This window comes from Homo sapiens, chromosome X (genome assembly GCF_000001405.40).
Source record: "Homo sapiens chromosome X, GRCh38.p14 Primary Assembly".
NCBI lineage: Eukaryota > Metazoa > Chordata > Mammalia > Primates > Hominidae > Homo > Homo sapiens.
In genome coordinates this window covers 46,599,053-46,626,984 of record NC_000023.11, presented here as the reverse complement: position 1 = coordinate 46,626,984, position 27,932 = coordinate 46,599,053, and the positions used below count along the sequence as shown (strand labels likewise).

General features: G+C 43.1%; 1 protein-coding gene and 1 long non-coding RNA gene across 11 annotated transcripts in view; one reads left to right on the top strand and one right to left on the bottom strand.

Moving 5' to 3' along the window:
- SLC9A7 (solute carrier family 9 member A7) overlaps window positions 1-27,734 on the top strand; it is a 159,868-nt gene extending 132,134 nt beyond the window's left edge. For 2 of the 10 annotated variants that reach the window (NM_032591.3, NM_001257291.2), the window contains exons 15-17: window positions 5,926-6,008; window positions 13,591-13,696; window positions 19,782-27,734. In NM_032591.3, coding sequence (NP_115980.1) covers window positions 5,926-6,008; window positions 13,591-13,696; window positions 19,782-20,033 — 441 coding nt within the window. In that variant the 3' untranslated portion in view covers window positions 20,034-27,734. The remainder of the gene's footprint in view (window positions 1-5,925; window positions 6,009-13,590; window positions 13,697-19,781) is intronic. The other 8 variants (XR_007068203.1, XM_017029905.2, XM_005272682.5 and 5 more) reach the window with 8 other exon arrangements.
- On the bottom strand, window positions 79-13,597 carry LOC124905182 (uncharacterized). The gene is made up of 2 exons (XR_007068222.1): window positions 2,628-13,597; window positions 79-1,722 (listed from the first exon to the last, which is right to left on the bottom strand). It is a non-coding gene; the product is annotated as an uncharacterized LOC124905182 (long non-coding RNA).

Genomic DNA, 27,932 nt, shown 5'->3' with positions numbered 1-27,932 from the left:
ATTATCCCAATGATATGACAAAGGCCCTGTATTAGTCCATTCCCACACTTCTATAAAGAACCACCTGAGGCTGGGTAATTTATGAAGAAAAGGTTTAATTGACTCATAGTTCTGCAAGCTGTACAGGAAGCATAGCTGGGAGGCCTCAGGAAACGCACAATCATAGTGAAGGCAAAGGGGAAGCAAACACATCTTACCATAGCGGAGCAGGAGAGAGAGAGAGCAAGGGGGAAGTGCCGCACACTTTTAACCAGATCTCGTGAGAACTCACTCACTATCACAAGAACAGCAAGGGGGAAGTCTGCCCCCATGATCCAGCCACCTCTTACCAGGCCCCACCTCCAACGCTTAGGATCACAACTTGAGATGAGACTTGTGGGGGTACACAGAGCCCAAACATACCAGGCCCAGGCCGGGCGTGGTGGCTCACACCTGTAATCCCAGCACTTCGGGAGGCCAAGGCAGGTGGATCACCTGAGGTCAGGAGTTCAAGACCAGCCTGGCCAACATGGCAAAACCCCATCTCTACTAAAAATACAAAAATTAGCTGGGCATGGTGGCAGGCACCTGTAATCCCAGCTACTTGGAAGGCTGAGGCAGGAGAATCGCTTGATCCCGGGAGGCGGAGGTTGCAGTGAGCCGAGATCACACCACTGCACTGTAGCCTGGGTGACACAGCGAGACTCCATGTCCGAAAAAGAAAAAAAGCATATCAGGCCCAAATCAAGTGACATCATTTATTTACTCTTCTGCTCCATATTAGTTGTCTGTGACTGCTGTAACAAATTACCACAAATTTAGTGGCTTAAAACAATAAAGTTTTGTTTTTGTTTTTGTTTTTTTTTAAGGGACAGAGTTTCACCATGTTGGGGCTGGTCTTGAACTCCTTGGCTCAAGTGATCTGCCTGTCTTGGCCTCCCAAAGTGCTGGGATTATAGGCATGGGCCACCATGCCCAGCCAAAACAATACAGTTTTGTCATCCTTACAGTTCAGTAGATCAGATACCTGGTGGGCTCAGCTGGTTTCTCTGCTTCAAGTTTTTCAAGGTGTTGGCAAGGCTAAGCTCTGGGGAGAAGCCACTTCCAGGCTCATTCAGGTTGTCAGTAGAATTCAGTTCCATGTGGTTGTAGGACTGAGGTCCTGTGTTCTTGCTGCAAAGCCAGCAACAGTGGGGCAAGTCAAGCTCTGAATCTCTCCCGCCCTTTCTTCTACTGCATTCCTTCCTCTGACTCTTTTGCCCTCCATGTCCTTTTTTTTTTTTTTTTTTTTTGAGAGAGAGACAGTCTTGCTCTATTGCCCAGGCTGGAGTGCAGTGATGTGATCTCAGCTCACTGCAACCTCCACCTCCCAGGTTCAAGCAATTCTTGTGCCTCAGCCTCCTGAGTAGCTGGGATTACAGGTGTGTGCCACCACACCCAGCTAATTTTTGTATTTTCAGTAGAGACCGGGTTTCGCCATGATGGCCAGGCTGGTCTTGAACTCCTGACCTCAAGTGATCTGCCCACCTCAGCCTCCCAAAGTTCTGGGATTACAGGCGTGAGCCACTATGCCTGGCCCTCCTTGTCCACTTTTAAGGGCCCACGTGATTGTCCTGGGCCTACCTGGATAACCTTAAGTCCATCCACAAAGCCTTTTGCCAGGTAGTGTAACAGGATCCAGGGATTAGGCTGTAGAAAGCTTTGGTGGGGTGGCCATTATTCTGCCTACCACATGCTCCATCCCTGAAAAAAAAAAAAAAAGTAAGCTGTTCTTATTAGTGTAATGACCTTATCTTTTAAAAACATCTTTTAATATTATATAAGAATGGAATGAAATGTAACTCTACACAGATATCATTATGCATTCATTCTAGAAAAATTATTTCAAAAATAGGACTGTTTGCTATTCCCCAGTTCTTTAATCAGCTTTCTTTTTCTTCATTATATTTGTCAGTCAATATGTATTTGTCTGTCTCCCCTCCCCCTACCCCCCAACCCTCGCCACCTTCACCTTCTGGAAAGAGTGCTCCTTGAGGCCCAGGTGCTAAGTTACATTCCTCTTTGTGTTTCCAGCACCCAGCATGGTGCCTGGCACATAGTAGGTGCTTAATGAATGCAGAAGAAATAGACACTCATTGTTACATGCTCAAAAAATGATAATAAGCAGGGTTGGTGGTATTTTCTTGAAGGGGCTTCTCTATTAATAATGGCAGTAAAAAGATGAAAATTCCTTGTGTAAAAAGCCACACAAGATAGCCAAATGATGTTAATGGCTAGGCGTTTTTTTCCCCCAAACAAATATGTGCTTGAAATTACATATCCAGTCTTTGGAAATGAACTTAATTAGTAATATGAGCTCTAACTACATGCCAGATTCTGGGTTAAATATTTCACAAATATTTAATCAGCACAAAAAGTCACATGGCAAACAATAATGAGTCAATATTTGTTGAGTGCTTGCCACATATCAGACACCATCCTAAGTTCTTTAAATGAAAAATCTTTTACAGTTCTAAAATTAAAACCTATTTTCTCTACATTCACACCACTTTTAATGCCAAATATGTAGGGTCTTTTTGTATACCAGCCAGTTCTCCAATTCCCAATGAGTACCAACTGGACCTCCTACAGTTTAACTCACTACGTACCTGGAGTTAGCGTCAGATCCCACAGGTTAAGGACTCAGTCCCACAAGACTGTCCCCACTTCAGACACCAGTTGCAAGTCCCAGGTCGTGACCTGTACTTCAGACTGACTGGCTATAGGGGGGGGTTCCCAACCCCTCCTCAGGTTCGATAATTTGCTAGAATGACTCACAGAACACAACTTTTACCATTACCAGTTTGTTATAAAGGATACAACTCGGAAATAGCCTAATGGAAGAGATGCATAGGGCAAAGGATGGGGATGGGAGTATGTGGCGCCAACTTGGAAGCCCTCCAAATTGTGTCATTTAGGGTTTTATGGAGGTTTCATTACATAGGCATGGTTGATTAAATTAGTAGCCATTGGTAATTAACTCAATCCCCAGTCCTCCCCTCCTAGGAGGTTGGGATGGGGCTAAAAGTTCCAATCCTCTAATTACATGGTTGGTTTCTCTGGCAATCAGTGTCCATTCAAGAGTCACCTTATTAGCATAAATTCAGGTGTGCTTGAAAGGAGCTTATTATTAATAAAAAAAGATGTTCCTCCCACCCCATCTACTCAGGAAATTCCAAGGGTTTTAGGAGTTTTATGTCAGACAAAAACCAGATATATATTTCTTGTTCTATCACAACATTACAGCCTCATAATGCCCCTAGAGGTAGGTAATTATTAATATTTCCAGTTTACAGATGAGGATACTGAAGCACAGAAAGGTTAGGTAACTTGCCCAGCATCACACAGCAAGACAATGGCAGCGGCACAGTCAGGAGCCAGATAGTCTCTTGAGAGAGCCTGTGATATCCACACCTACACTTCTTGGAGTGCTATGTCGCTTTTGAAACATTTCTTAGAGAAGCCACGCTTCTGCACAGGCTTGAAAGGTGAATAGAGGTTGGCCGGGTAGGTGTTCTGGGTGGGAGAAGGTGAGAGGAAAAAAGAATGCTCCAGGCCCTAGAAGTTGCCTGAGCTGAAGACATGAGGTGCGAACCCAGGTTTTGAGGAGGGGCGAGTTGAGAGAGCAAGTCTGTGCTTTTTCTGTGGACGGCACAGGAGTGGAAAATCCAAGAGTCGCCAAGTACAGCCAGGAAGGAGGCTCCGCCTGTTCCCACAGTGACCCTTCCTCAGTCCGGTGCTGTTCGGAGCCCACAGGAAGGGCTCTCAATGGCTTCTCTGTGACAGCAGCCCCAATCATGTCATGAAGCAGTTATTGCTTGTCTTCCGGGTCAGCTTTAAAAAATTAGTTCTGTCCCACAGAACTGCCCTGATTTCCCCAAAGCCACCATATGTGGATTTATCTAAGTTCTTCCTATACCTAATCATGCTTCTGGCACCATCTCTTGGAATAAGAAGTTGTTTAACACCCTTTTCACAAAGTTACACCTTTGATTTGTCCTGAATTTACCCCTTGTAGCCTCTAAGCGTTGTTTCTTAGTTCTTACATTTCGGGATTTGCTGTGGAGTCTGAGGTCACTTTATCTTATTCATGGATTGCAGGCATATCTTTCCGTAGCCTGAGAAGACCTTTTGTTAGTTTGCTGTCAAACCATTCCCTTGCTTTACTCATTTTAATTGTCTTTTTTGGGGCTTATATAAGTCTCTTGTAGCTTTCTTTTTTTAAATTTAACTTTTAACTTCCGGGGTTCTTGTAGCTTTCTTGAGATTAAATGGCAAGAAATTAAGTAGTCCAGTGATAATAAATGCTTTGTGGTTTTGCAGAGGTTAAGATGACAGAGTAGGGTTCATTGTTTTCATCATTGATTTAAGGGAAGAAGCGGAAGAAACTGACTTTGGGGTACTCGTTTTGTGCCTGATGGTTTAATAGTATCCTTCCTGATGATGTTTATCGTTGTGCTGGCTTTTTCCTTAGTAAAATTCTACAGGCACTTAGAACTGAGAACTTAGAGCCTATTACTTTATAAAGAACCATTTGATTTTTTCCATTATATATTTGCCTATCAAAAAAGTCATCTGCTACTTTTCTACTCAGTCATGTGGCATTTTGGAATCTTCCCAGAGTTGTCATTGGGTTAGCAATCAGTCACCCTGCAAATGGAGGCATTTCTGTGCTCTCTCTCTTGCTCATGATTTATAAAAATGTAAAATCAAATTGGTCTCTGGGGTCTCTCCTTGTTTATATTTCCTCATCCACAGAAGGGCCCATTTAACTGAGCCATTTCCATATCCATCACTAAACATTCCTGAAATACCGAGGGGATTCAATTTTTAAAAATAATCTTTGCTGTTGGAAACTTTAGGAGTGTATTAATAAATAGTGCTTGCTAATTTCTCTCCTTCTCTTGTCTATGTGCTTCTCAAAGATCTTTGATTAATTATTTGATGTTGCCATTGCGGGTAGAATTTACATTCACCATGATTTAAAACTACTTGTAATTTTGGTTCAAGTTGTATTTGGTGATTGTCAATTGTCCCTCACTTGCAGAGTTGCCTCTCCCTGTAATATTAAAGAGAATGATGATAATAATAGCTTCACAAGCAGTCTGTGCTTGCACAGCCCTAGTAGTACCCTCAAATTGCTGCAGTCAGTCTGAGTTTTATATTAACTGTGCTGCTTCTGATACTTGCACAGAACAGATTTCCTAAACCTCAAATGAATGTTTGATTTTGCAGGTTATTTTGAAAGTTACACGATGGGGATGTTTAAACTGGAAGGGCATGAGAGTAGCAAGGAACTTGCTACTTGATGGTAGATAAAATAACAGAATTGTTAGTTCGAGCTCGTTTCTCCTGCCCACTGATCCCACCTTCCTAAAGCTGGTGGGGAAACAAGTACCTTACCACCTGGAGCACAGTGTAGGTCCCTGGGTAAGGACCACAGAGAAGCCTTAACTAGTTTGTCAGGATACTCAACAATATGTGGTTTCCACAGGCCTACTTTGGGGATGAGGATTGGAAAGTTGCTTTTACAAAAAGCTTTTAAAAATATTCGCTATAAATCAATTTTGGCCTGTTAGTATCTAGAGTATTTTAGGGTAATTAATCTGCTGAAAGACACTTTGAGGAAAATTGCAATAAGAATGCCAAAAGAAATGTTGTTCCATATTAAGTTTGAGCTATCCACAGGCATAACCCAGCCTTTTTACTTTGGAGACTGATTTTTCTGCCTTTTGAGTTTAATTTCTGCTCAAATGCTACCTCCCAATATATCTTTGAAACTTTGCTGACATGGGATGTTTGACTATGAGCTCCAGAGCTATACAAGTTATTAAAAAAGGTTTTTTTTCCCCTTTCTTTGAGATCCCTTTTGTACAACTAAGCATGTGCCCTCTTGTTTGTTCCTAGGACGGCCCAGATTCTGCCAGAGGAAACCGGACAAAACAGGAGAGCGCATGGATATTCAGGCTGTGGTACAGCTTTGATCACAAGTATCCTTTTAAGTAGCATCCCCTGTGTCGGTGAAACATTGGGGATGAAATCTTGTTGAATTGTCGGTGAATGACACCTGATAAGTAAGGAAAGATGCATGCTTGGGACAGGGATAGCCCATCCTCTTATGGAACGTGTGCATTGAGCATTCAACCATAGGTAGTCCTGGTGAGTATCTCTCTGGCCAAGAGGAATGTTTGCATATCCTTAGAGTAACCAGCCCACAGCCTGGTAGACTCATGTGGCTCTTAAGAGCTTTGTGTCCAGGGAACTATGCCTTTTTAGGTGATTAGATTAAAATTACGCAATGAATCGTGCTGTGGTCAGAAAAGGAAGTAGAACTTCAGCTGTTAATCCATATGGGGAGGATAATTCCTATTGGATGAACTCGGCCAAGTCTGATCTTGTATGATCTGATACTGGCATAACTGGGCCACATGCAGGGCAAACCCTGTTCCAGTAGATTCACTTGGTCTCAAGTGAAAATTAAAAACCAAAATGTTAAACCCTCATGGTTTTTTTTGTTTGTTTTGTTTGTTTGTTTGTTTTTTGTTTTTGAGATGAGGTCTCACTCCATTGCCCAGGCTGGAGTGTGGTGGCGCACTCAGCTCACTGCAACCTTCCCCTCCCAGGCTCAAGCAATCTCCCACCTCAGCCTCCCAAGTAGCTGGGACCACAGGTGCATGCCACCGCACCCAGCTAATTTTTTGTATTTTTGGTAGAGATAGGGTTTCGCCATATTGCCCAGGCTGGTCTCGAACTCCTGGGCTCAAGCAATCTGCCCACCTCAGCCTCCCAAGGTGCTGGGATTACAGGCATGAGCCACTTCACCCAACCCCTCATGGTTTCTTAAGTTGACATAGTCATCAAATGGGCAGGTGGCTTATTATATATGGTCTTTGGAGACGCCAAAACTGTTAAAAATTTATTGAAGTATAGTAGATATACAGAAAAGTACACAAATAATAAGTGCTCAGTAAATTATCAGAAAATAAACACACTCATTTAACACCAAACGAATCAAGAAACAAAATTCCAAGGCTGGGCATAGTAGCTCATGCCTTTAGTCCCAGTACTTTGGGAGGCCAAGGCAGGTGGATCACTTGAGCCCAGGAATTATAGACCAGCCTGGGCAACATGATGAAACCCTGTCTCTACAAAAAATACAAAAATTAGTCAGGTATGGTGGCACACACCTGTAGTCCAGCTACTTGGGCCCTGTCTCCAAAAAAAAAAAAAGAAAGAAAGAAAATTGCCAAACCCCTCATGCCATGACTCAATTACTACCCCTTCCCCCTCCCCAAATGTAATTGCTCTGTTGACTTCTAGCAACACTTAATAGTTTTACCTGTTTTTCAACTTTCTGTAAATAGGATTATACAGTATATATATTTTAGTGTCTGGCTTATTTGGCTTGACATTATGTGTATAATACAGCCATGTTGTTATGTGTAGTTCTAGTTCATTTGTTCTCCTTGTTCCATAGTATTTCTTATATAAATATATCACAATTTATTCTATTATTGATGTACATGTCTTTTGATGTACATATACATATTTTTTTTGGTAATCTACCCAGGAGTAACATTGCTGGGTAATAGGACATGGGTAGGTTCAACTTTAGAAGATAGTGCCAGTTTTCCAAAATAGTGGTACTACTTTACACAGTCACTTCTAGCATATGAGAGTTCCAGTTACTCCACATCCTACCAACATTTGGTGTTGTCAGTCTTTTTAATTTTAGCCATTCTATTGGGTTTGTAGTGGTATTTAATCATGGCTTTAATTTGCATTTCTCAGATGACTGATAGGGTTGAGCACCTTTGCATATATTTACTGGCCATTTGGTATGTTTCTTTGTGAAGTGCCTGTTCAAGTCTTTTGCCCATTTTTCTATTGAGTTGTCTGCCTTTTTCTTACTGATTTGTAAGAGTTCTTTGTGCATTCTGGATATGAGTCTTTTGCTGATCATACATGATAAAAATATCTGCTACCACTTTGTAACTTGCCTTTTCACTTTTTTTTTTTTTTTGAGACAGAGTCTCACTCTGTCACCCAGGCTGGAGTGCAGTGGTGTGATCTCAACTCACTGCAGCCTCTTCCTCCCGGGTTCAAGTGATTCTCATGCCTTAGCCTCCCGAGTAGCTGGGATTACAGGCACACACCACTACACCTGGCTAATTTTTGTATTTTTAGTAGATAGGAGGTTTTACCATGTTGCCCAGGCTGGTCTGGAACTCCTGGCCTCAAGTTATCCACCTGCCTTGGCCTCCCAAAGTGCTGGGATTACAGGCGTGAGCCACCATACCCAGCCTCACTTTTTAAATAGAATATTTTGATGAACAAAAGGTCTTAATCCAATGTATTGATCTCCTAGTTAGTATTTTTTATGTCCTGTTTCAGAAATCTTTGCCTACCCCAAAGTCATGAAGCCAATTTCCTATGTTATCTTCTAGAAGCTTTATTGTTGGTCTTCTGTGCATCTCTTTTTTTTTACTGAGTGACAAGCATGGGCAATTTTTTCTCTAGAAAAAAAATCTAGAGATAATTTGAGATGCTCTGCCTAACATCATCATCCTTCAGAGATGATTTAAGCTTATATCTGATCAGTGGCTAGGCTAGGGGTATTAGCAATTGCAGATCACTTTAATCCAAACAGGAATAAGGATGATTTGATGCTGGGCCCTAGTTCCTGTGAGAGTTAGTCTTGACTGTTTTCTCTTTACCCTTTATTCTAGGATCCCCACCTAAAGCCTGGTTTCCATCTTCTTCCTCAGTAGGCCCTGGACTTTCTTTTTTGTCAGGTTCACTCTATCTTTGTGACTCTGCCAAATGCTCTGCTCTGTTTCTTAGGTGCCTTTAGGGAAACTGTGGCTCACCAACCACAGGGCTCACCTCTTTGGTTTCCTCCTCTCAAATTCCACCCCTCTTCACTGCCTTGGTAGCTTTCTGAAGCCTTCAAGCAGATGGTTTTGTCTTATTTTATTTTGTCTAGCTTTTCTAGTTGTTCTCAGTGGAAAGGTTGGTTCAAATTACCTTGTTTGCTACTAACTGAAGTAGAACCCCCAGGGATTTTTCAAGCCATGTGGACTATTAGAATCCAGAATGCATATTGCCTGCTGGTCTCAGAAAGGATGTAAAGAAAATGGAAGAGTATCCACCAGGAGAGTGACACAGTGCTAAAGTGAGAAACTGATCCTCTGAAGAGGAACAGGAGTTATCTCTAAAGTTTCATCTGAATCTAAATTTTAGTGACTTTGGGATTTCCACTTTTTAGTTTGGAAAAAAACTAAAAAGGAGAGAAAACTGTAATGTAAGACAAAGGTAAGTCTTGAGCCAATTTGTCCAGATGATTTTATTAAAGAATGTTAAGAACAGCTGCAACAGGTACTTCCTGTGTCAACAGATCAATTGGTAGCTGCTAATTTTTTCTTCAAGCCACAGATACCTAAAGAAAGTTAGAGACACTACCTGGAGAGGGCTTGGTAGAGAAACAGATCTTGAGGGCATCAAAGATTTTTCTCTTGAGAGTCACTCCCCACCCAACTTTGGCCATGGTAGGAGTCTGTACCTGCCTGATGAAGAGAAAAACTAAATAGAGACATGAGGGACTAATTAAACAATTATGTACTTTTTGATTAATCCTTAGAGAGTTGAAAGGCTTTTTCAGTCATGATACTAGAGAAGATTATTAGAAAAAGGAGTAAATCAAACAAAAAATTCTTGAAAATTAAAAACAAGGTTTCTGAAATTAACCAAAAAAATGTAATGGATAGCTAATAACTTGAATATGATGAAGACCAAATTGTTGATCTGGAAGATAGAGTTGAGAAAAAAAAAGTCCAATAATTATAGCAAAAAGAAACATGTAAGAGGAGAGTTTCAAGATATGGAGGTCAGAATCAGTTGGTCCAAATCATTTGACAGGATCTGAAAGGAGAGGACAGAGACTTTGGAGGAAAAGTACCAAAGAAATAATGGAAGAAAAATTCCCTTAGCTAAGAAAGACAGTTGTTTCCAGAGTGCAAGGGCCCACCAAGTGTGAGTAGGTTGAATGGACACGTTCGGGGGCATTCCATAACTACAAGAGAAAAAGAGGGAATCTTTGAGGTTTCCAAAGATAAAAACAAGCAACCTCCAAAAAGCAAGAATCAGACTTCTCATCGACAAAATTGGTTGTTAGAATACAGTTGAGCAATGTCTTCAAAGTTCTAGGATGAAAAAAAGAAGTCTGAACCTAGAATTCTACACCCAAACTGTCAATCAAAAATAAGAGAATGAAGGAGGGTAGCTTTCAGACATGTAAAAATTCAGAAAGTTTAGCACCATGCAGACCCTGTAAGAAGGAAGAAAAATAACATAAAGATCAAACAAAACAAAATCCAGCAAAGGGGACAGTGATTGTTATAACTCAGAAGAAGTGAACAAAGTCAAAAAGAAAAGATCTTTTATTTGGCAAGATACTCAAGGGTTCTCTTCTGACTGACAAAATTTAAATGACAGTGTGTTACATTTCCTTTTATATTGCTCCAACCACTTTGCTTGGTTCTCCAGAGAACAGCATTCATGCAATGATGTTATATTACAAATGCTGCTTACTGGTTTTTGTTTTTTTGTTTTTGTTTTGTTTTTTTTTGGGGGGGTGGGTTTTTTTTTTTTTTGAGACAGGGTCTCACTCTGCACTGATCATGCAGTGGCACGATCATAACTCACTGCAGCCTTGACCTCCCTAGGCTCAAGTGATCCTCCCACCTTAGCCTCCCAAGTAGCTAGCATGTGTCACCACACCCTGCTAATTTTTGCTTTTTTTTTTTTTTTTAAGAGATGAGGTTTCACCATGTTGCCCAGGCTGGTCTTGAATTTCTGGGCTCAAGCCATCTGCCTGCCTTAGCCTCGCAAAGTGCTGGGATTACATGCCTGAGCCACTGCATCCAGTCTGCTTACTGGTTTTTAACACTTAGACTCAATCTATACACAAAGCATAAAAAATCTACTTATTAGTTATAAAGTAGAAAGCAAATGTTATATATCTCCAGTATAAAGTTAATTATAATAAAAATTGGGAAGAAAAAATTGGAAAAAAGAGACAGGAGTGTAAATGAGTTAAACGTACCATCCTTACTAGGAAGGAAAAGCCTCAGACTAAAGTTTATAAATCAAGAAATGGGGGAGAAGTGTATTATCTAAAGTTGTAATGTAATTACCAGAACAACTAGAGTGGGATAGAAAGACTTGATGTTTTATTTTGTCCCATCCAACAATTTGAATATTTAAAAACATATATATAGCTTACTGGTTATATATATATATATATATGTATATGTATATACACATATTTCTTTTCTTTTTTTGAAGAAGTTGTCATGGGGCCTTCTGGAGAGGAGGAAGGGGGAGCTTGTCTTTGGAGTACCTGAGGTGGAGAACTGAAAAGCAGTCTCTGAGTTCCCCTGGCCTCCTGCGTATTTGTCATTCTACAGATCTGAGCCTCTGTCATCTTCTGAGCCAAAGACACAAGAAAACTGACAGGCCTGTAGGGTCTCTTCCCAAATTGGAGGAGCGCCTGGTCTGCATCTCTCCCTGGGAATGTGGTTCAAGGACAGCAAAGGGGAGCTGGTTCCGCGTATAAAGAGCTCCAGGCCGGGCGCGTTGGCTCACGCCTGTAATCCCAGCATTTTGGGAGGCCGAGGCGAGTGGATCACGAAGTCAAGAGATCGAGACCATCCTGACCAACATGGTGAAACCCTGTCTCTACTAAAAATACAAAAATTAGCTGGGTATGGTGGCACGCGTCTGTAGTCCCAGCTACTTGGGAGGCTGAGGCAGGAGAATTGCTTGAATCTGGGAGGCGGAGGTTGCAGTGAGCCAACATCTCACCACTGCACTCCAGCCTGGCAACAGAGCGAGACTCCGTCTCAAAAAAACAAAACAAAAAACAGAGCTCCAGCCAGGCCTGCACATCCTCTTTGGTTGAGTAATTTCAAACTAGAAGCATGCTCCAGTGTCTCCCTTCCATCTCCTCCTCTAGAGAGAGCTGCTTTTCTCTTGTGCTGCTCTAAATGAAAACAGAAAGTGAGGGGTGATGCTCCCAGCAGTCATCCTGTTAGGTACAGATGGCGGTGGCATCTCCTCAACTTTCTTTGAAGTCTCTTGGCCATCCCTGTAGTGGAAGTGGCCATCTGAGACCCCACCTTTTCCACACTGCTTAGGCTGTAGGTTTCAGAAGTGGTCCCGGCTGTATCAAAATGTGGCTGGTGCTTCATGGAGCTTCCCACATAGGGCTGTGCGTTTGGTAGCGCTGATATTCACCAAGTGACAGACAAGCAAGATAAGCTCTCTGCTTATCCGTTGACCTTCATGTTAGAGCAGTGGACAAGTTTGCTTCCCAGGGGACATTTGGCAATTTTTTGAAGACATTTTTTATTGTCACAACTTGGAGAGGGGAGTAACGGTGCTACTGGCATCTACAGACAGTCCCCAACTTAAGATGCTTCAACTTAGGATCTTTCAACTTTACGATATAGTGTGAAATTGATCTGCATTCAGTAGAAACCATACTTTGAGTACCCATACAACCATCCTGTTTTTCATTTTCAGTACAGTATGTAATAAATTACATGAGATATTCAATACTTTATTATAAAACAGGCTTTGTGTTAGATGATGTTGCCCAACTGTAGGCTAATGTTAGTGTTCTGAGCACATTTGATGTAACCTGGGCTAAGCTGTGATGTTTGGTAGGTTAGGTGTGTTAAATGCATTTTTGGCTTATGATATTTTCAACCTAATGGGCTTATTGGGATGTAACTGCATCATAAGTCGAGGGGCATCTGCAGTGTGTAGAGATCAGGGATGCTGCTCAATATCCTACCATACACAGAATAGCCCCCCATAACAAAGAATGATCTGGCCCTAAATGTCAATAGTGTTGAGGTTGAAAAGCCTTGTGTTAGCGTCTAGGAGAGAAGCTGTGGGTAGAGTGAAGAATGGTCCTGTATGGGAAGTTGAGAGACTTACAGTCCGAGTAACCTTACTGAAATCATTTCATGTTGCCAAGTCTCAATTTCTGCCTTTATAGTAGCCCCAGGCTACCTCTAAGGTCCTGTCCAACTTCAGCATTTCCACCACCTGCCCTCTGGGTAGAGTGGTTTAACAGGAATCCATGCAGAGAACAAGAGCAGAGGGGACACAGGGGCTGCAACTCCCCACTCCAGGGACACTATCTCCTGTTTCCAAGGCCTGGAGCCAGTTGTGTGTCAGAGGCTGAAATGCTGATTGAAACCAAAACTTCCATTCAACATGACAAAGGGAGAAGGGGGATCTAATTTCTAATTAATCAAATACACGTTTGAACTGAAAATTGGGAATTACCAACCTGAGAGTTAACAGTTACTATTTAAGGCTGATAGGGCGTATCTTACTCTTTGATTCAAACTGTTGCATGTTACAAGTATTTCGTGTGTTGTACGAGTAAAATGGGGAAAAGAAGGTTTTTGTGGGTGGAATGTCGGGCAATTTTTTAAGCACATTTTGTTGTGTATATGTTTTCTTTGCAGCCATTTTTCCTTAATTCACATTTTAAAGTTACCTGAAGCCCATCCTCACACACAGTGGTCCCCCACTAACCACCACGCTCCCCGCCTGGTGTGGCTTACTAGCTCGATGTCTGACCAGTCCCCAGGTGTACGATGTAAGTACTGCACATCAGGGTTGGAGTCCTGGTCACCATGCCAGGGTAGTGTCTTACGTAGGAAGAAGAAACCATCATACTCATGCCTCCAAATCCACAGATTTTTGCTTCTCTAATAAGCTGATTAGAAATGGCCATCTTCCATATGTTTATAGATTTCGCATAGTAACAGAGAAAGCTTTTACCAGGGTAATGGGATTCCCCCACATCGGCCGCTGTGGTGTAGTAGAAGAACACTGGATTTGGAATCAGAGCCACTGGATTGGAATGCAACCCCTGACAGGCCATAGATGTGCTCTGCATCTCAGTTCTTTCTCTCTCTCTTTTTTTTTTTTTTTTTTTTTTTTTTTTTTTTTTTTTTTTTGAGACGGAGTCTCACTCTGTCGCCCAGGCTGGAGTGCAGTGGTACAATCTCGGCTCACTGCAACCTATGCCTCCCGGGTTCAAGCAGTTCTCTGCCTCAGCCTCCCAAGTAGCTGGGATTACAGGCGCCTGCCACCACACCGGGCTAATTTTTGTATTTTTAGTAGAGACAGGGTTTCACCATGTTGGCCAGGCTGGTCTTGAACTCCTGACCTCGTGATCCACCCACCTCGGCCTCCCAAAGTACTGGGATTACAGGCGTGAGCCACCATGCCCGGCCTGCATCTCAGTTTTCTAATCTATAAAATGGGCCTAGTAGTACAGGCTGGCTGGGAGCATTAAATGATGAAATACATGAAGATACACTGAACCACAAAGCATGCAAGGATTCCTTTTCTAAATAGTTTATTTATGTTGATATGGTTAGGTCCTTTCTTTCCATTTTCAGATTATAGAAATAGACTCAGCACAGTATGAAAAGAACATGTACACTGGTGGACGTCTTAGATTTAGGGCTGACTCCTGCACTCCTGGTGTGGGTTGCAGGGTACAGGGCAGAGAGGTAGAGAGAGCAAGGTAGCTACCCACGTGGAAGGAGTAGAGGAGAGGTCAGAGGCCTTCCTTCATCCCTCTTCGGCCATCCTAATCATCTTGTCACTAACACAGTCATTATGCCCTAGAAGAAAAGAATTTCTAAAATTTGCGTACAGCTCTAGAGTTCACAAAGGCTAAGTTCATTCGTTGGGTCATACCATGAATCAGTGAGTACTGCAGCATTACAGAGAAGGAAAGTGCATCTCAGAGAGGATGTGAGTTGGCCCCGGGCCCACAGTTAGTAATTAGCTGGGACCCTCATGCAGGTCTTCACATTCTTAGCAAATAACCTGCAGTTTACTTGATTGGTGATGAGAAGGCAGAACACAAAGCCTAGATCTGAAAGAGAACGGCCCTAAACAGGTAAGTTCTAACGAGGGGTAGCAGGGTTAGGAAAGGCAGTGCACATTCATGTGGTATAGAGGGGAAAGGGATGTGGACACCATAGCTAGGTGGGGGCGCTGGGGCGGAAGAGAAGGGCAGCCACATCAGAGCAGCCGAGATTGGAGGATGCAGCTCCTTAAATGGCACGCTCTTCCTTCAAGAACAGGGATGACAACTGCCAAGTCACCATGTGTCCTAAACCCGCTGCTGCAGAGAGCTCTGTGTGTCTGTCATCCCTAGGCCCTCGGACCTCTCCTTGGCCCCCTCAGAGGAAGGTGACCATTGAAAAGTCCTGGTAGGCAGCGACAGAACTTTACACTGGGAAACTCAGCTGGGCTACTGGGTTTCACCCCCTTCACAGCAGGTTCTGCCTGGTAAAAATGTAGTTCTGCCACAGCCGTTGCTTGGAAATTTCACCAAATGTGGCAGTAGCGTTCATGTGTCTTTCTCTTAAAGATAGTTGAACTTCCAACACCCACGGCTCCTCCCCATATAAAAATGAAATTCCTGTGCCACCTGTGATAAACTGGTTTTAAATGACAAAAAAATATGTAGGATGGTGAGAACACCATTTCTGTAGAACTGCTCCCAGTTTGTAAAGTGATGTCTAATGCTTGCGGTAAGTTTTAAATGTAATATCTATCAGCCTAAATAATAATGCTAGTTACCTGTTAGGTTAGAAGGACACAAACCAATAGATTAAAAACTTAGTTTTGTAATTTCTCATCCTGCTACTAGCTTACTTAAGAAAAGCTGTCTTGTGCTGAATGCTGAATGGTTTGCTCAGTTTGGCCCGCTGTCTAAAGTGGTAGTAGGGGCCCTTTACATACATCATCGGAGACAAAGGGTGCTGACGGCATTTCCACTTCTCCCACTAATGAAGCCCCAACTGTGATTACACTTTCTGATCTTAAGTTTCACTGGGTTTATATATATAAATTTGTCTTCTAACTCTAGTCTCTTCTAAACACTTTGTAAAACTTTCCATCTTAATTGGGTTTTAATAAGGATCACTTTTCATGTCTATGTAATAGTAAAACAACAAATCCACTATTAAAACTTTATAAAAACCTTATCTAATCTGAAGCTTACTAACCAGTCCCTTGCTCATAGATTAGGAATATCTGGACTAGTTTGAACTCAGCATAAACTCAGTAAGCTTACAATTGCATCAATTTCAAGTGCTTCTCCCAGCAGTTCAAGGGACCACTCCAAGTTTGCTTCTGGGGGTCATGTTTCAGCTGTGACTCCCCACAGCCAACCTAAGACTGAGTGACTTGGGCTTCTAGTGAGAATCACCCTCGGTCCTGCTGCTGCTGCTGCTTTGAGCCGGGGTCCTGCCTAGGGTCTCAGCCAGCTCCAGACATGGTGGGGCCTGCTGCTGAGACAGTGGGAGCAAAGGGTCTCTTCAAAATTATCAGTGGAGGAACCCAAAACTGACAGAGGTGAAGGGGCTCACTGCAAAGTTTAGTGCCTGGTGAGGGTCTCAGACTGGGCAGTTCTCGTAGATTTTGACACCTGTTGCATGGTTCTTACCCACCATCTAAAAGGTGTTTTCTACTTTGCCAAGTTTATTTGGAGATTTCTAAGATGTTCATCAGTCATTATTTCCACTAACGTTAAACCACTTAGGTGTGGTATCCAGCTTCCTAACAATGTTCTTTCACTTTTGAAAATGACTTCTGGTTATTTAAAATGCACACATCCCCACACACTGTTGTTTGCAGGTGTTTTCACTGCATTTTCATAGCAGACTTAATTGCACAGCTAGTTACATGATTATATAGACCTTCAGCGTAACAAAACAAACTTGTGTTGATCCTATCATCTAGAATTCAAGGGAGCAGGTTAGTTTTATCATCTGCATGTAACATTATTAGACTTTGATGTCAGAATCACTCTCCATGGGTTGTTTGTTTTTTGAGACAGTCTCGCTCTCTTGCCCAGGCTGCAGTGCAATGGTATCATCTTGACCCACTGCAACCTCTGCCTCCCGGGTTCAAGCGATTCTCGTGCCTCAGCCTCCCGAGTAGCTGGGATTACAGCTGCGTGCCACTATGCCTGGCTAATTTTTGTATTTTTTGTAGAGACATGGTTTCACCATGTTGAGCAGGCTGGTCTCGAATTCCTGACCTCAAGTGATCCGCTCGCCTCGGCTTCCCAAAGTACTGGGATTACAGATGTGAGCCACCATGCCTGGCCTCTCCATGGGTTTTTTTTTGTTTTCTTTTGTTTTGTTTTGTTTTTTGAGACAGAGTCTTGCTCTGTCACCCAGGTGGGAGTGCAGTGGTGCAATCTTGGCTTGCTGCAACCTCTGCCTCCCCAATTCAAGCAATTCTCCTGCCTCAGCCTCCTGAGTAGCTGGGATTACAGGTGCCCACCACCACCACCCGGCTAATTTTTGTATTTTTAATAGAGATGGGGTTTCACCACGTTGGCCAGGCTGGTCTCGAACCCCTGACCTCGTGATCCACCCTCCTTGGCCTCCCAAAGTGCTGGGATTACAGGCGTGAGCCACCGCACCCAGCCTCCGTGGGTTTTACTATGGCCTTGTTTCTGAATGACCTTTCCTTGAGTACTATGTCTGGGCTTGGGAGTTTCAGAAATGCAATGGGTTGACATCCAGTCTTGTTTTCTCCTGTCAGTGAATTTAGGCCCTGCTTCCCTCTGCAAAGAGTGAAAGCGGACCACATCACAGTTCATGCCCAGGGTTTCCTCTGTGGTGCTGTGGTGGGCTTTCCTTCATTTGCGGAATTACCCTCACCTGCAGTTATCCTGTGTTTGCCTCTGTCCTTCCATGGCTCCAAACCTTGAAGCAGTAAAATATGTGCCAGGACCATTTCCCTGAAAACTGGGAGCCAAGAGCCCTGGCAGAGAGATTTTGACAGAGATGAACAAAATCATTATGTAGCACGTGTATGAATGGGAGAATTGGGATGTGCCGAGACAGGGAAGGTGAACTCCCCAGGAGTTGGAAATTCGGATGGGAGACATAAGCTACCGGCTGGGTGTGGTGACTCACGCCTGTAATGCCAGCACTTTGGGAGGCTGAGGTGGGAGGATCACCTGAGGTCAGGAGTTTGAGACTAGCCTGACCAACGTGGTGAAATTCCATCTCTACTAAAAATACAAAAATTAGCTGGGCATGATGGTGGGCACCTGTAATCACAGCTACTCAGGAGGCTGAGGCAGGAGAATTGCTTGAACCTGGGAGGTGGAGGTTGCAGAGAGCCAAGATTGCACCATTGCACTCCAGCCTGGGTGGCAAGAGTGAAACTCCATCTCAAAAAATAAAAAGAAAAAGAAAGAAGGCTACTGTAAAGCAGATTGAGTTTCGGGACTTTCTAAACACTGGTAAAGAGGAGGAAATTTGGGAGTTTAAATCAAGTTTTAGAACTGTGCTCTGAGCATCTGCCTGAATATAGGACTTTTATCTCATTGGGCATTTGCACCCTGCTTCATTCCAGTGAGGATTTGAAGCAGCAAGTGAGAGGAGTTGCGTGCTTGCCTGTCAAAAATGCTGAAGCATTAGTTAAGTGGAGTCACAGTGTAGACTGTGTGTAGGGAAGTTGACAACACTGAGAATGCAGAAAACAAGTATGTGATTGTTGCCAGTGAGTGCACAGAAATAAGTCTGGGAGAGGAAACGCAACCCATGAGTCTTCCCTAGCTGGTGCATTTACCTGGCATTCACTTAGCACCTACTGTGAGGTAAGCACCATTGAGGAAGGTGCCAAGGTGTGGAGAAGGAGGTCACTGCCCTTTGGCGTTTGTCATCTAGATGGGGCTGATCTCGGGGAATCTGCCCATGGCCTTGGGCAGTGTGACTGCGCGGGGGCCCTGAGGGGGTCAGAGAGGCCAGTTCGGCGCCCTGGAGGCTCTGTCTCATAAGAGGATGCAGGACTTCAGATGAGCTTTGAAGGGTCGGTGGGAAACAGGAGAGAAAAAATCAGTTTACCCAGCGTATTTGACACTGTGTTTGCCCTTCTAGAAGGCAGTGCACAGTACTCAATAGGCCTCAGTGCAGCGCGGGAGCTGGGTTGTGGCCCTCCCCTTGTTTTGTTGGTTAAATCTATTGGAGGAAGAAGGTCCTGTCTGACCTCGTGCCGTCTCCGACACTCTCGCTACCATCTGATAGTTCAAGTGGTTGCAACTTTGCTCTCCCTCGATCATTTGATTCATCCACCTGAGGATGTGGCGGGTGGGCTTCCTATCAGGGTTTTCCTGTGGGGAGATGACAGGGGAAACAGGGAGGAAATCCTGATTATGGCTTGTCCTCTTCCCTGAATTGCTGTCTATGACAAAGAGTAGTTCCAATGTAAACAAGACGGGTTGGAGACGGTTTGTATAGGGCAGGAGACCCACCCGGAATGCCTACCCAGAGAAGACAGTACCTGAAACCTATTTGCAACGTTTGCCCAATTACCCTACTCTGGCCTTGCTTTGTGTGTTGATTGGGAAGCTGGAAATCCAGGCTGGTCTCCCTTTCTTCCCTTTTTCACTAACCCCAAGCTGTCAGACATTGAAATTAGAAACTGTTTTCTAGTATTCTAAGTCCTAGTCCTGGCAACCGTGCCCGGCCCTCTACAGTTTACATCCAGTTACCACGCTAGAGGCTCAAGGCAGGCAAGTTTCATAGTCCCCAGTTTTCAGATGAGGAGTTGGGATTGGGATTGGGGTTGGTGCCAAACCTGGAAGATATCAGTCTCTCATTTTTGTTGTTGTTGTTGGTTGCACTTTTCAGAACCAAGAGCCACTGAGAGAGGAAGACTCTGATTTCATCCTGACCGAAGGCGACCTGACATTGACCTACGGGGACAGCACAGTGACTGCAAATGGCTCCTCAAGTTCGCACACCGCCTCCACGAGTCTGGAGGGCAGCCGGAGAACGAAGAGCAGCTCGGAGGAAGTGCTGGAGCGAGACCTGGGAATGGGAGACCAGAAGGTTTCGAGCCGGGGCACCCGCCTAGTGTTTCCCCTGGAAGATAATGCTTGACTTTCCCCCCAAGCCCTGGCGCGATGGGGTAGGCTCCCGATGGGGTGAGGACAGCTGCAAGCCCTAGTGTTGTTGGAGGTGGGGCAGTGACTAGATTGAACTAACTCTTCTATTTTATTGGGGTCTGAAGCTATTGTAACACTTAAAATTTAACTCACAATGCAGATGGTGAGGCAAAAGTGTCTCTAAATTCAGACAAACGTAGACCTATTCCCACTTTTTTCACATAGTAGTGCGCTGTTTCAGAGTTAAACAAACAAAAAAAAATAGCATGCTTTAATGGTCTCCTAATTCATTCACCTGCAGTATCTGAACAAGGCGAGGCAGGTGCTGGGTGGGGGGATTCCTCCCATGAGAGGCTGCATCTCAGTACACAGCAGTGCAAGTCAAGCTGACCATAGAATTATCAAGTTAAAGAGAAGGAAGGCAATTGAGATCGGAACTCCAAGGATTATGGGAAACTTGGTGTTAAATGGGACAGAAAACATGAAAAAGCAATTTGGAGGCTCTGGCAACGAAGTCTGCTTGACTGCAACCTCATATCAGGATTCCTGACTTTATGCTGCCTGTGTTTTTTCTAGACTGAAGATTTGAAAATACATCCACGAACATTTCAACATGGAACGAAGAATTATAGTTCCTTCTCTGGCTATATCCATAAAGAAGTAGTTATGAAATGTTTAAAACCAAAGGCAAATAGTGTTATACTCTTATTTTTTGATTAATCTGAGGAAAGGAGGTATTTAGAAACTGATGATGGTATCACTGCAAAAAGCATTCAACTTTTTTTTTTTGTTGAGATGGTGTTTCACTCTGTCACCCAGGCTGGAGTGCAGTGGCGTGGTCTTGGCTCACTGCAACCTCTGCCTCACGGGTTCAAGTGATTCTCCTGCCTCAGCCTCCTGATTAGCTGGGATTACAGGTGCCCACCACCATGCCCAGCTAATTTTTTGTATTTTTGGTAGAGATGGGGTTTCACCATGTTGCCCAGGCTGGTGTCAAACTCCTGACCTCGTGATCCACCTCCCTTGGCCTCCCAAAGTGCTGGGATTACAGGTGTGAGCCACTGCACCTGGCCAGCATTCAACTTTTGAGGGCTACCATATGAGCTGACAGCCTAGGGAAATAATCACTAGGACTGAAGTATCTACTCTGGGTTTAGAAATAACACCAAATTTTGTAGGATGCTATTATCTGGGAAAGGGAAGGCAGCAAGAAACCTACAAGGCACCAGGCTAGAATTCAGAGGGAAAGAAATCTCAATGCAAAAAAATTACTGCAAAGAAATACAAGATAGTAGTCTCAAGACTAGGTAGAATTCCAAACTTTGAGCCGACGAATGCATGAGATTTCAGTGGCCACCTGAGGAATCAGAGGGCAAACAATGGAACATTAAGTATTTTCAGCCCACTAGAAAGCTCTGTCTTCTATAAGCTTAAGAGTCCGAGTGTCTTTACACCACTGAGTGCCATGCAGAGAAGGGTCATTTTCCTTGTATCTGGGGAGGCTGCTGCACCAGCTTAACATGTGGGTGTGATTTGAAAGTTAGGTTTTCAGTTTGGATTCTTTCTGGATGAGCTGTTCTGTCTGCCCACACCTGTAGTGCTGAAATACAGAAAGACCTCTCGGGAAAAGTTTGAGTTTCTCTTAATGTCTCTGTGCTTCAGTGCTAGCTTATTTTTGGCAACCCAATTTCTAAAAAATGCTTTCAATAACGTGGGCTTTTCTTTTTTTCTTTCTTTCCTTTTTTTTTTTTTTTTTGAGATGGAGTCTCGCTGTGTCACCCAGGCTGGAGTGCAGTGGCGCGATCTCGGCTTACTGCAACCTCCGCCTCCCGGGTTCAAGCGATTCTCTTGCCTCCGCCTCCTGAGTAGCTGGGATTACAGGCACGCGCCACCACGCCTGGCTAATTTTTTGTATTTTTTAGTAGAGACGGGGTTTCACCATACTGGCCAGTTTTTCTTATGATGGAAGACAAAATATTGTGTCCCAGTCTAGTCCACCCGTAGTGAAATCAGTCATTTAATCTTCTCAATTCGCATGTTTAATGCTTAATTTTTAAATAAGACATTGCTTCACAACTTTGTGTTTGAATTGATAATTTGTGCAAATCAGGAAAATACGTATTTAATTAGGTTGAGCCATATGAGTTTGCTGATATTCGACCATTTTGTAAAAACAGGAGTGGCAATTTCATATGGTTCAATAAAATAAAATTGAGACCGGGCACAGTGGCTTATGCCTGTAATCCCAACACTTTGGGAGGCTGAGGCAGGAGGATCACTTGAGCTCAGGAGTTCAAGACCAGACTGGGCAACATGGCAAAACCCTGTCTCTACAGAAATACAAAAATGAGCCAGGCATGATGGCACATGCCTGTAGTTCTAGCTACTTGGGAGGCTGAGGTGGGAGGATTGCTTGAGCCCAAGAGGCAGAGGTTGCGATGAGCTGAGATCATGCCACTGCAATCCAGTCTGGGCAACAGAATGAGACCCTGCCTCAAAAAAAAAAAAAAAATACAGTTGAATGATTTTTATTCTCCTCTTTCCTTTTTATCTACAATAAAGTCCATTTTGATTTTATGGTCATCCATGGGCTTTGGAAGTTTGAAAAATGCTAAACAACCTATCCAAACCCATGAGCCCTCAGGGTCAACTAGGCTAGTGAAGGACTTAAGAATAAGACCTACACCCCACAGCCAGAGAAAGAGCTTTCATAGCCCCTGGAAGGGAAGTTCTTATATCCTGGGGTGAGGTTGCAGACAGCAGCTACCAGGCCTGGCAGAGGCCTGTATTATATGTGTGCTGGAGTCCAGAACCAGCACAGGATTTTTTATTTAGCAGAGTTATCTTAGTAATGACCAGTCATGCCATATAAATCTAAAAGGCAAGACTTGTTTTGTTTTCATTTTTGTTTTTGTTTTGCAGAGATGGAGAGATAGGCTGCTTGGGTCTTTGGTTGGGTCTTTATAAAGCTTTGCTTATCTTATATTGCTTACTTAATTTTGGAGGGAAAAAACTAACAGACACACCCTGGTGATGGTTCTTTGTTCACCTCAAGGCTTTGTTGTTGTGTTGTTGTTGTTTGTTTTTTGTTTTGTTTTGTTTTGTTTTTAGATGGAGTCTCGCTCTATCCCCCAGGCTGGAGTGCAGTGGCATGACCTCGGCTCACTGCAATCTCCACCTCCTGGGTTCAAGCGATTCTCCTACCTCAGCCTCCCGAGTAGCTGGGATTACAGGCACATGCCACCACACCCAGCTAATTTTTTTATATTTTTAGTAGAGACAGAGTTTCACCATGTTGGGCAGGATGGTCTCGATCTGCTGACCTCGTGATCCACCCGCCTCTGCCTCCCAAAGTGCTGGGATTACAGGCGTGAGCCACCGCCCCTGGCCATTATTTTGAGTTTTTTTTAGAAAGCTTTTACAAGATTACAAGAAATGACTCTCTTAGGGAAGAAAAATAACCACCCAGTTTCCCTTCCTAGTCTTAGTTCAATTCATAGAGTGTTGTGTTTATCCCCAAAGGGTCTTGTAGTCTTCACTGCAAACATTTGATTCTGATCTACTCACATACAAGGAAATGTAGATTGCCAAGACCAAAACTAGAGGGGTGGGCTTCCCATCAGGGTTTTCCTGTGTGGAGATGACAGGGGAAACAGGGAGGAAATCCTAATTATGGCTTGTCCTCTTCCCTGAATTGCTGTCTACGACAGTGTAGTTCCAATGTAAACAAGGTGGGTTGGGGATGGTTTGTATAGGGCAGGAGGCCCACCCAGAAGTCCTACCCAGGGAAGAGAGGGCCCAGAATCTAGTTGCAGCATTTGCCCAGTAACCCTACCCCGGCCTTTCTTTGTGTGTTAGGAAGCTGGAAATGCAGGCTGGTCTCCCTTTCTTGCCTTTGTCACTAACCCCGAGCTGTCAGCCATTTGGAATCAGAACTGCTTTCCAGTGTTCTAAGTCCTTATTTGATTACAAATATTTGGTGAATCAAAGTAAGGCACTTTGGTCCTAATTTTTGACCTTTGGTCCTAATTTTTGTTTGTAAGATGTGGAGAATAACCCTGACCTTACCAGGGGTCCTGGGAATGTGAATCCATTCGTCAAGTGGTTCCACATCTAGAAGAATTTTGCCTATGCCATGTCAGGCATCATTCAACACAAGGCCAACTATCTGCTGCCAGTCTGGCATAAGATCAGATTGAAACTGCTAAGTAATGGTACATCCAAATAAACAAAGTTCTTCCAAGAGAGTAAACCCAAGTCCATCTTATACACGTATTTGTTCTGGGTTGGTGGGGACGACAGTTCAGCCGAGTCCGATGTTCTAGAGCAGAGGTTCTCAACCCTGGCTGTGAATTAGGATCATCTGGCCAGTTTTTGTTTTTAAATCAGTGCAAGGGCCCTCCCCTCAGAGATTCAGATTCAGTAGCTTCAGGTGGGACCTGGAATCCATGCTTTGTTTGGAACCTCAGGAGTGTTCTTGATGTGCAGCCAGGATTGACAAGAGCCTTTAGTCTAGAGCTCGCAGCAGACCTCTAGACTATTTGGAATCTGATTTTAAAGAATGGCCCAGCAGATGAAGGTGTTTTTTTAAATTGTTAGTCATGTGAAACGAACTGAGTATTGATCAGTAATACAGACAGGGCAGCTGTGAGAGAGTTTGATGCTAATCTTTGCAGAACTCAAGAACATACTCCATAAAGTACAGCTGAAAAGATCACGAAAACCTTGGAGCCTTCGAGGAAAGAGAAGGGTGACTTGGGGTATGTATGGGGAGAACTAAAAACCTGTCATCTTGGTTCCCACTTGTGGGGAATAAAGGGAAGGTATTGTCTTAACTGAGCTGCTAACTAATCAAGCATGAAGGTTTCTGGGAAGCTGTTTTGTTTTTTTTTTTTAATTTCACCTGGAATTAAATTAATAGTCCCCTCTGGAGTCAGATTTTCTTTTCCTTCACCTATCCTCATGCCTGAGTCCACACTGGATTCCTCAGAATAAGGGTGGGCCCATTTACTGCTGGAGCAAAGTAGAAGGTTGTGGTCCTTTGCTATCACATGGTGATGGTGGTGGTTTCCGTAGCAGGTAATTAAGGAGATGCACACTTTTGTATAGCCCTGACAGAGAGAAGATGAAAGCTGCTATTCCTTTTAGTACACTTTTTGAGAACTACCAGAAACCTGAACTTTCTCTCCTAGGGAAGAAAATTTGGAATTTAAATAAGGCCACATTTCTTCCTAGGACACAATCACAGGAAGGGCATATGGATCCGAGCATCCAGGGTGGTTACTGGGGTGATCAGACAAATAAGCATTGATGCCTGGAAGGCAGAAATCACACTGCGACATCAAATGTTTCATCAAGCAAACAGCAAGGATCTCTTCAGGCTGTGTTCTCTAGACCCGAAAATGTCCTCTGTGGTTTGGCTGACAAATGGAATCTCTTTAGAAAACATGCAAAAGGGTATCTCAGCTATCCATGAACGATTCGGTCTAGGACAAAGAACTAACAGTTCCTTCCAAAATAGAGGTCTGTTGGTCTGTTTGACGTCATCCCATCATCCTATCTCTCCCTGTCCTTGTCTGCAGTAGAAGTTAATGTAATCATACCAGATGTTTAATGTGAACAAGTAATTTCCAAATGTAGAAACACCACTGATGCACTTAGGGGGAAAAACAGTGGCAGGGTGTTAGAGCATCTCATCAGAGGTGAAAATCACCCACTTGGAAACCTACTGTGCACCCGTTGTGAGTTCTAAGAGTGTATCAGAAAGCTGATTTTACCATCTGTTGTGAAAGATTATCTGCAATGAGGGCTGCTAGAAAGTCAGCCTGCTGATCTCACAAGTATATGACTTCTTATTCCACTTCAAAAGTGGGGAACTTGACAAGTTTCTTGTCTGCCTTTTGATGTTGATTCTATAGATTAATTAGTTCAGGAACAAGTCTTTCATATACATTAGACTGGTATCATTGAGTTCTGAGCTATTCTGTTGTTCTTTAACTGACACTCTGGATTGCCAGTGTCGGCTGCTACATTCTGATACAGTAAGTCAAAGGAATCTAGTGGCCAAGAGTTGTAGTTTAGAAACAACCCATCTGAATACTGCTTTTACCACTTTGATACCTGAAAAGATCATCCCCCTTTCTAAAACCTGAAAACAACATATAGAGAAATACTGTAGAAACCATTGCTAGTGTCTTAACTAGGAAAAGCAAGTAGACTCATCAACAATCCTTTCAAAACAAGACCTAGAGATAAACAGTTTTTTCCAGTGTCAATTTTCATAGACATTTTTAAAAAATTAAACACATCTTGTCACCCAGTGCTAGCAAAAATTGTAAAGAGCAAAACCAAAGTTTTTGATGTTAGTCTTATTTTTGTAAGCAGGGTATACTATAGTCGTGGCCCATATGGAACACACAGGCAGCCGGTTTTCTGCTACCTGAGCCTTGGAGAAGATGAGAAGGAAGGGCTGCCTGCTGTGCTGCCCTTTGAAAAGGTCCAAAGCAGACAGGAGCGCACACAGCAGAAGTCACCTTCTCCTTCTGATGACCACCTTTCAAAAGGCTTAACAGAATCACCAAGTGTCACAGTCAGCTCTTGGCCAGTGGAAAATTGTCTGGGCCTGTATATGTTGGAGGAACTCAGATAGAAAAGGACTTGTAAACAGCATGGAAACCTCAACATCTGCTGTCTCAAGCACTTAAAAAAGGCTACAATTCAGGTGTTACTGGATGACTTAACTGCATGGACATTTAGGGGCTGACTTGTGTTGTGATTATTCCAATTGTGGGCTTTGGAGAAGCAGAGGGATGATTTTCAGTTGTGTGGGTGTTAAGTCTATGGATTGGGAATTTACCACTGAAATTGATCGTTCAAAGTGTGACTTCATAGTAGGGCCAGCTCCTCCTAAGTTGTCCTTTTGTTTTTCACATAAAATACATCTGGTACTTTTTACTTGGAAAGTTGTACTATGTCCATGAAAATGGTTAAATGAGAAGGCCATAAAGATTCATTTAATAGCTGAAAAGCAACTTTTAAAATAGAATAGGACGAATTTAACATGGAATGATGTGACCTTCTAGGGAACTTTTTATAGAGAGCTTACATAGTGTAATTGGGGAGAATTTTGTCTTCTATTTCCATTCAACAGTAGCAAACTGGTGGTTTTATAAAATTAACATTATAGTATGTTATATAAATAAACGTTATATAAAATGACATTAAAGTATAACTGTGAAAAATTAAAGACTTGGCGTTATCCACAACCTTTATGTGCAATAAGGAAAACTGCAGTAGGCCCCCAAAGTGCCGTCTTTCCCTAGCATTTTACTCAATGTTTGCCTTTGTGTATGTTTAGATTGCTATTGTAAAGCTAGCCATGTGTGTTCCTGCCCTTTACTGATATTTAACACATTTTCTCAAAGCTTTTCTTTTTTTAAAAAAACAAAACTCAAAATAAAACAACTAACTGGCTGAGCTAATTTTGTTTTGTATTTTAAAGTAAAGTATCATCTGTTGGTAGAAGGCTGTAGTGTGATACTATTCTTAGTCTGTTTCCCTCACTGAGAGGTTCTTTTCTGGGTGTAAGCTATTCCTCTCCAGCTTTCTTTAGGCCTGGGGTTGGCAAACTACAGCTGGCTCCTGAACCAAGTCCAGCCCACTGCCTTTTTTTGTAAATAAAGTTTTATTGGCATGACTAGGCTCATTCATTTGCTTACTGTCTGTGGCTGCTTTCCTGCTACAATGACAAAGCTGAGGCGTTGCAACAGAGATCATATGGCCCATAAAAAGTAAACAGCTATTTACTATCTGGGCCTTAACAGAAAAAGTTTCTGCCAGCCTCTGATTTAGATGCTTGAAGAAATTCAGTTTTAAAATAGGGCTGGGCACAGTG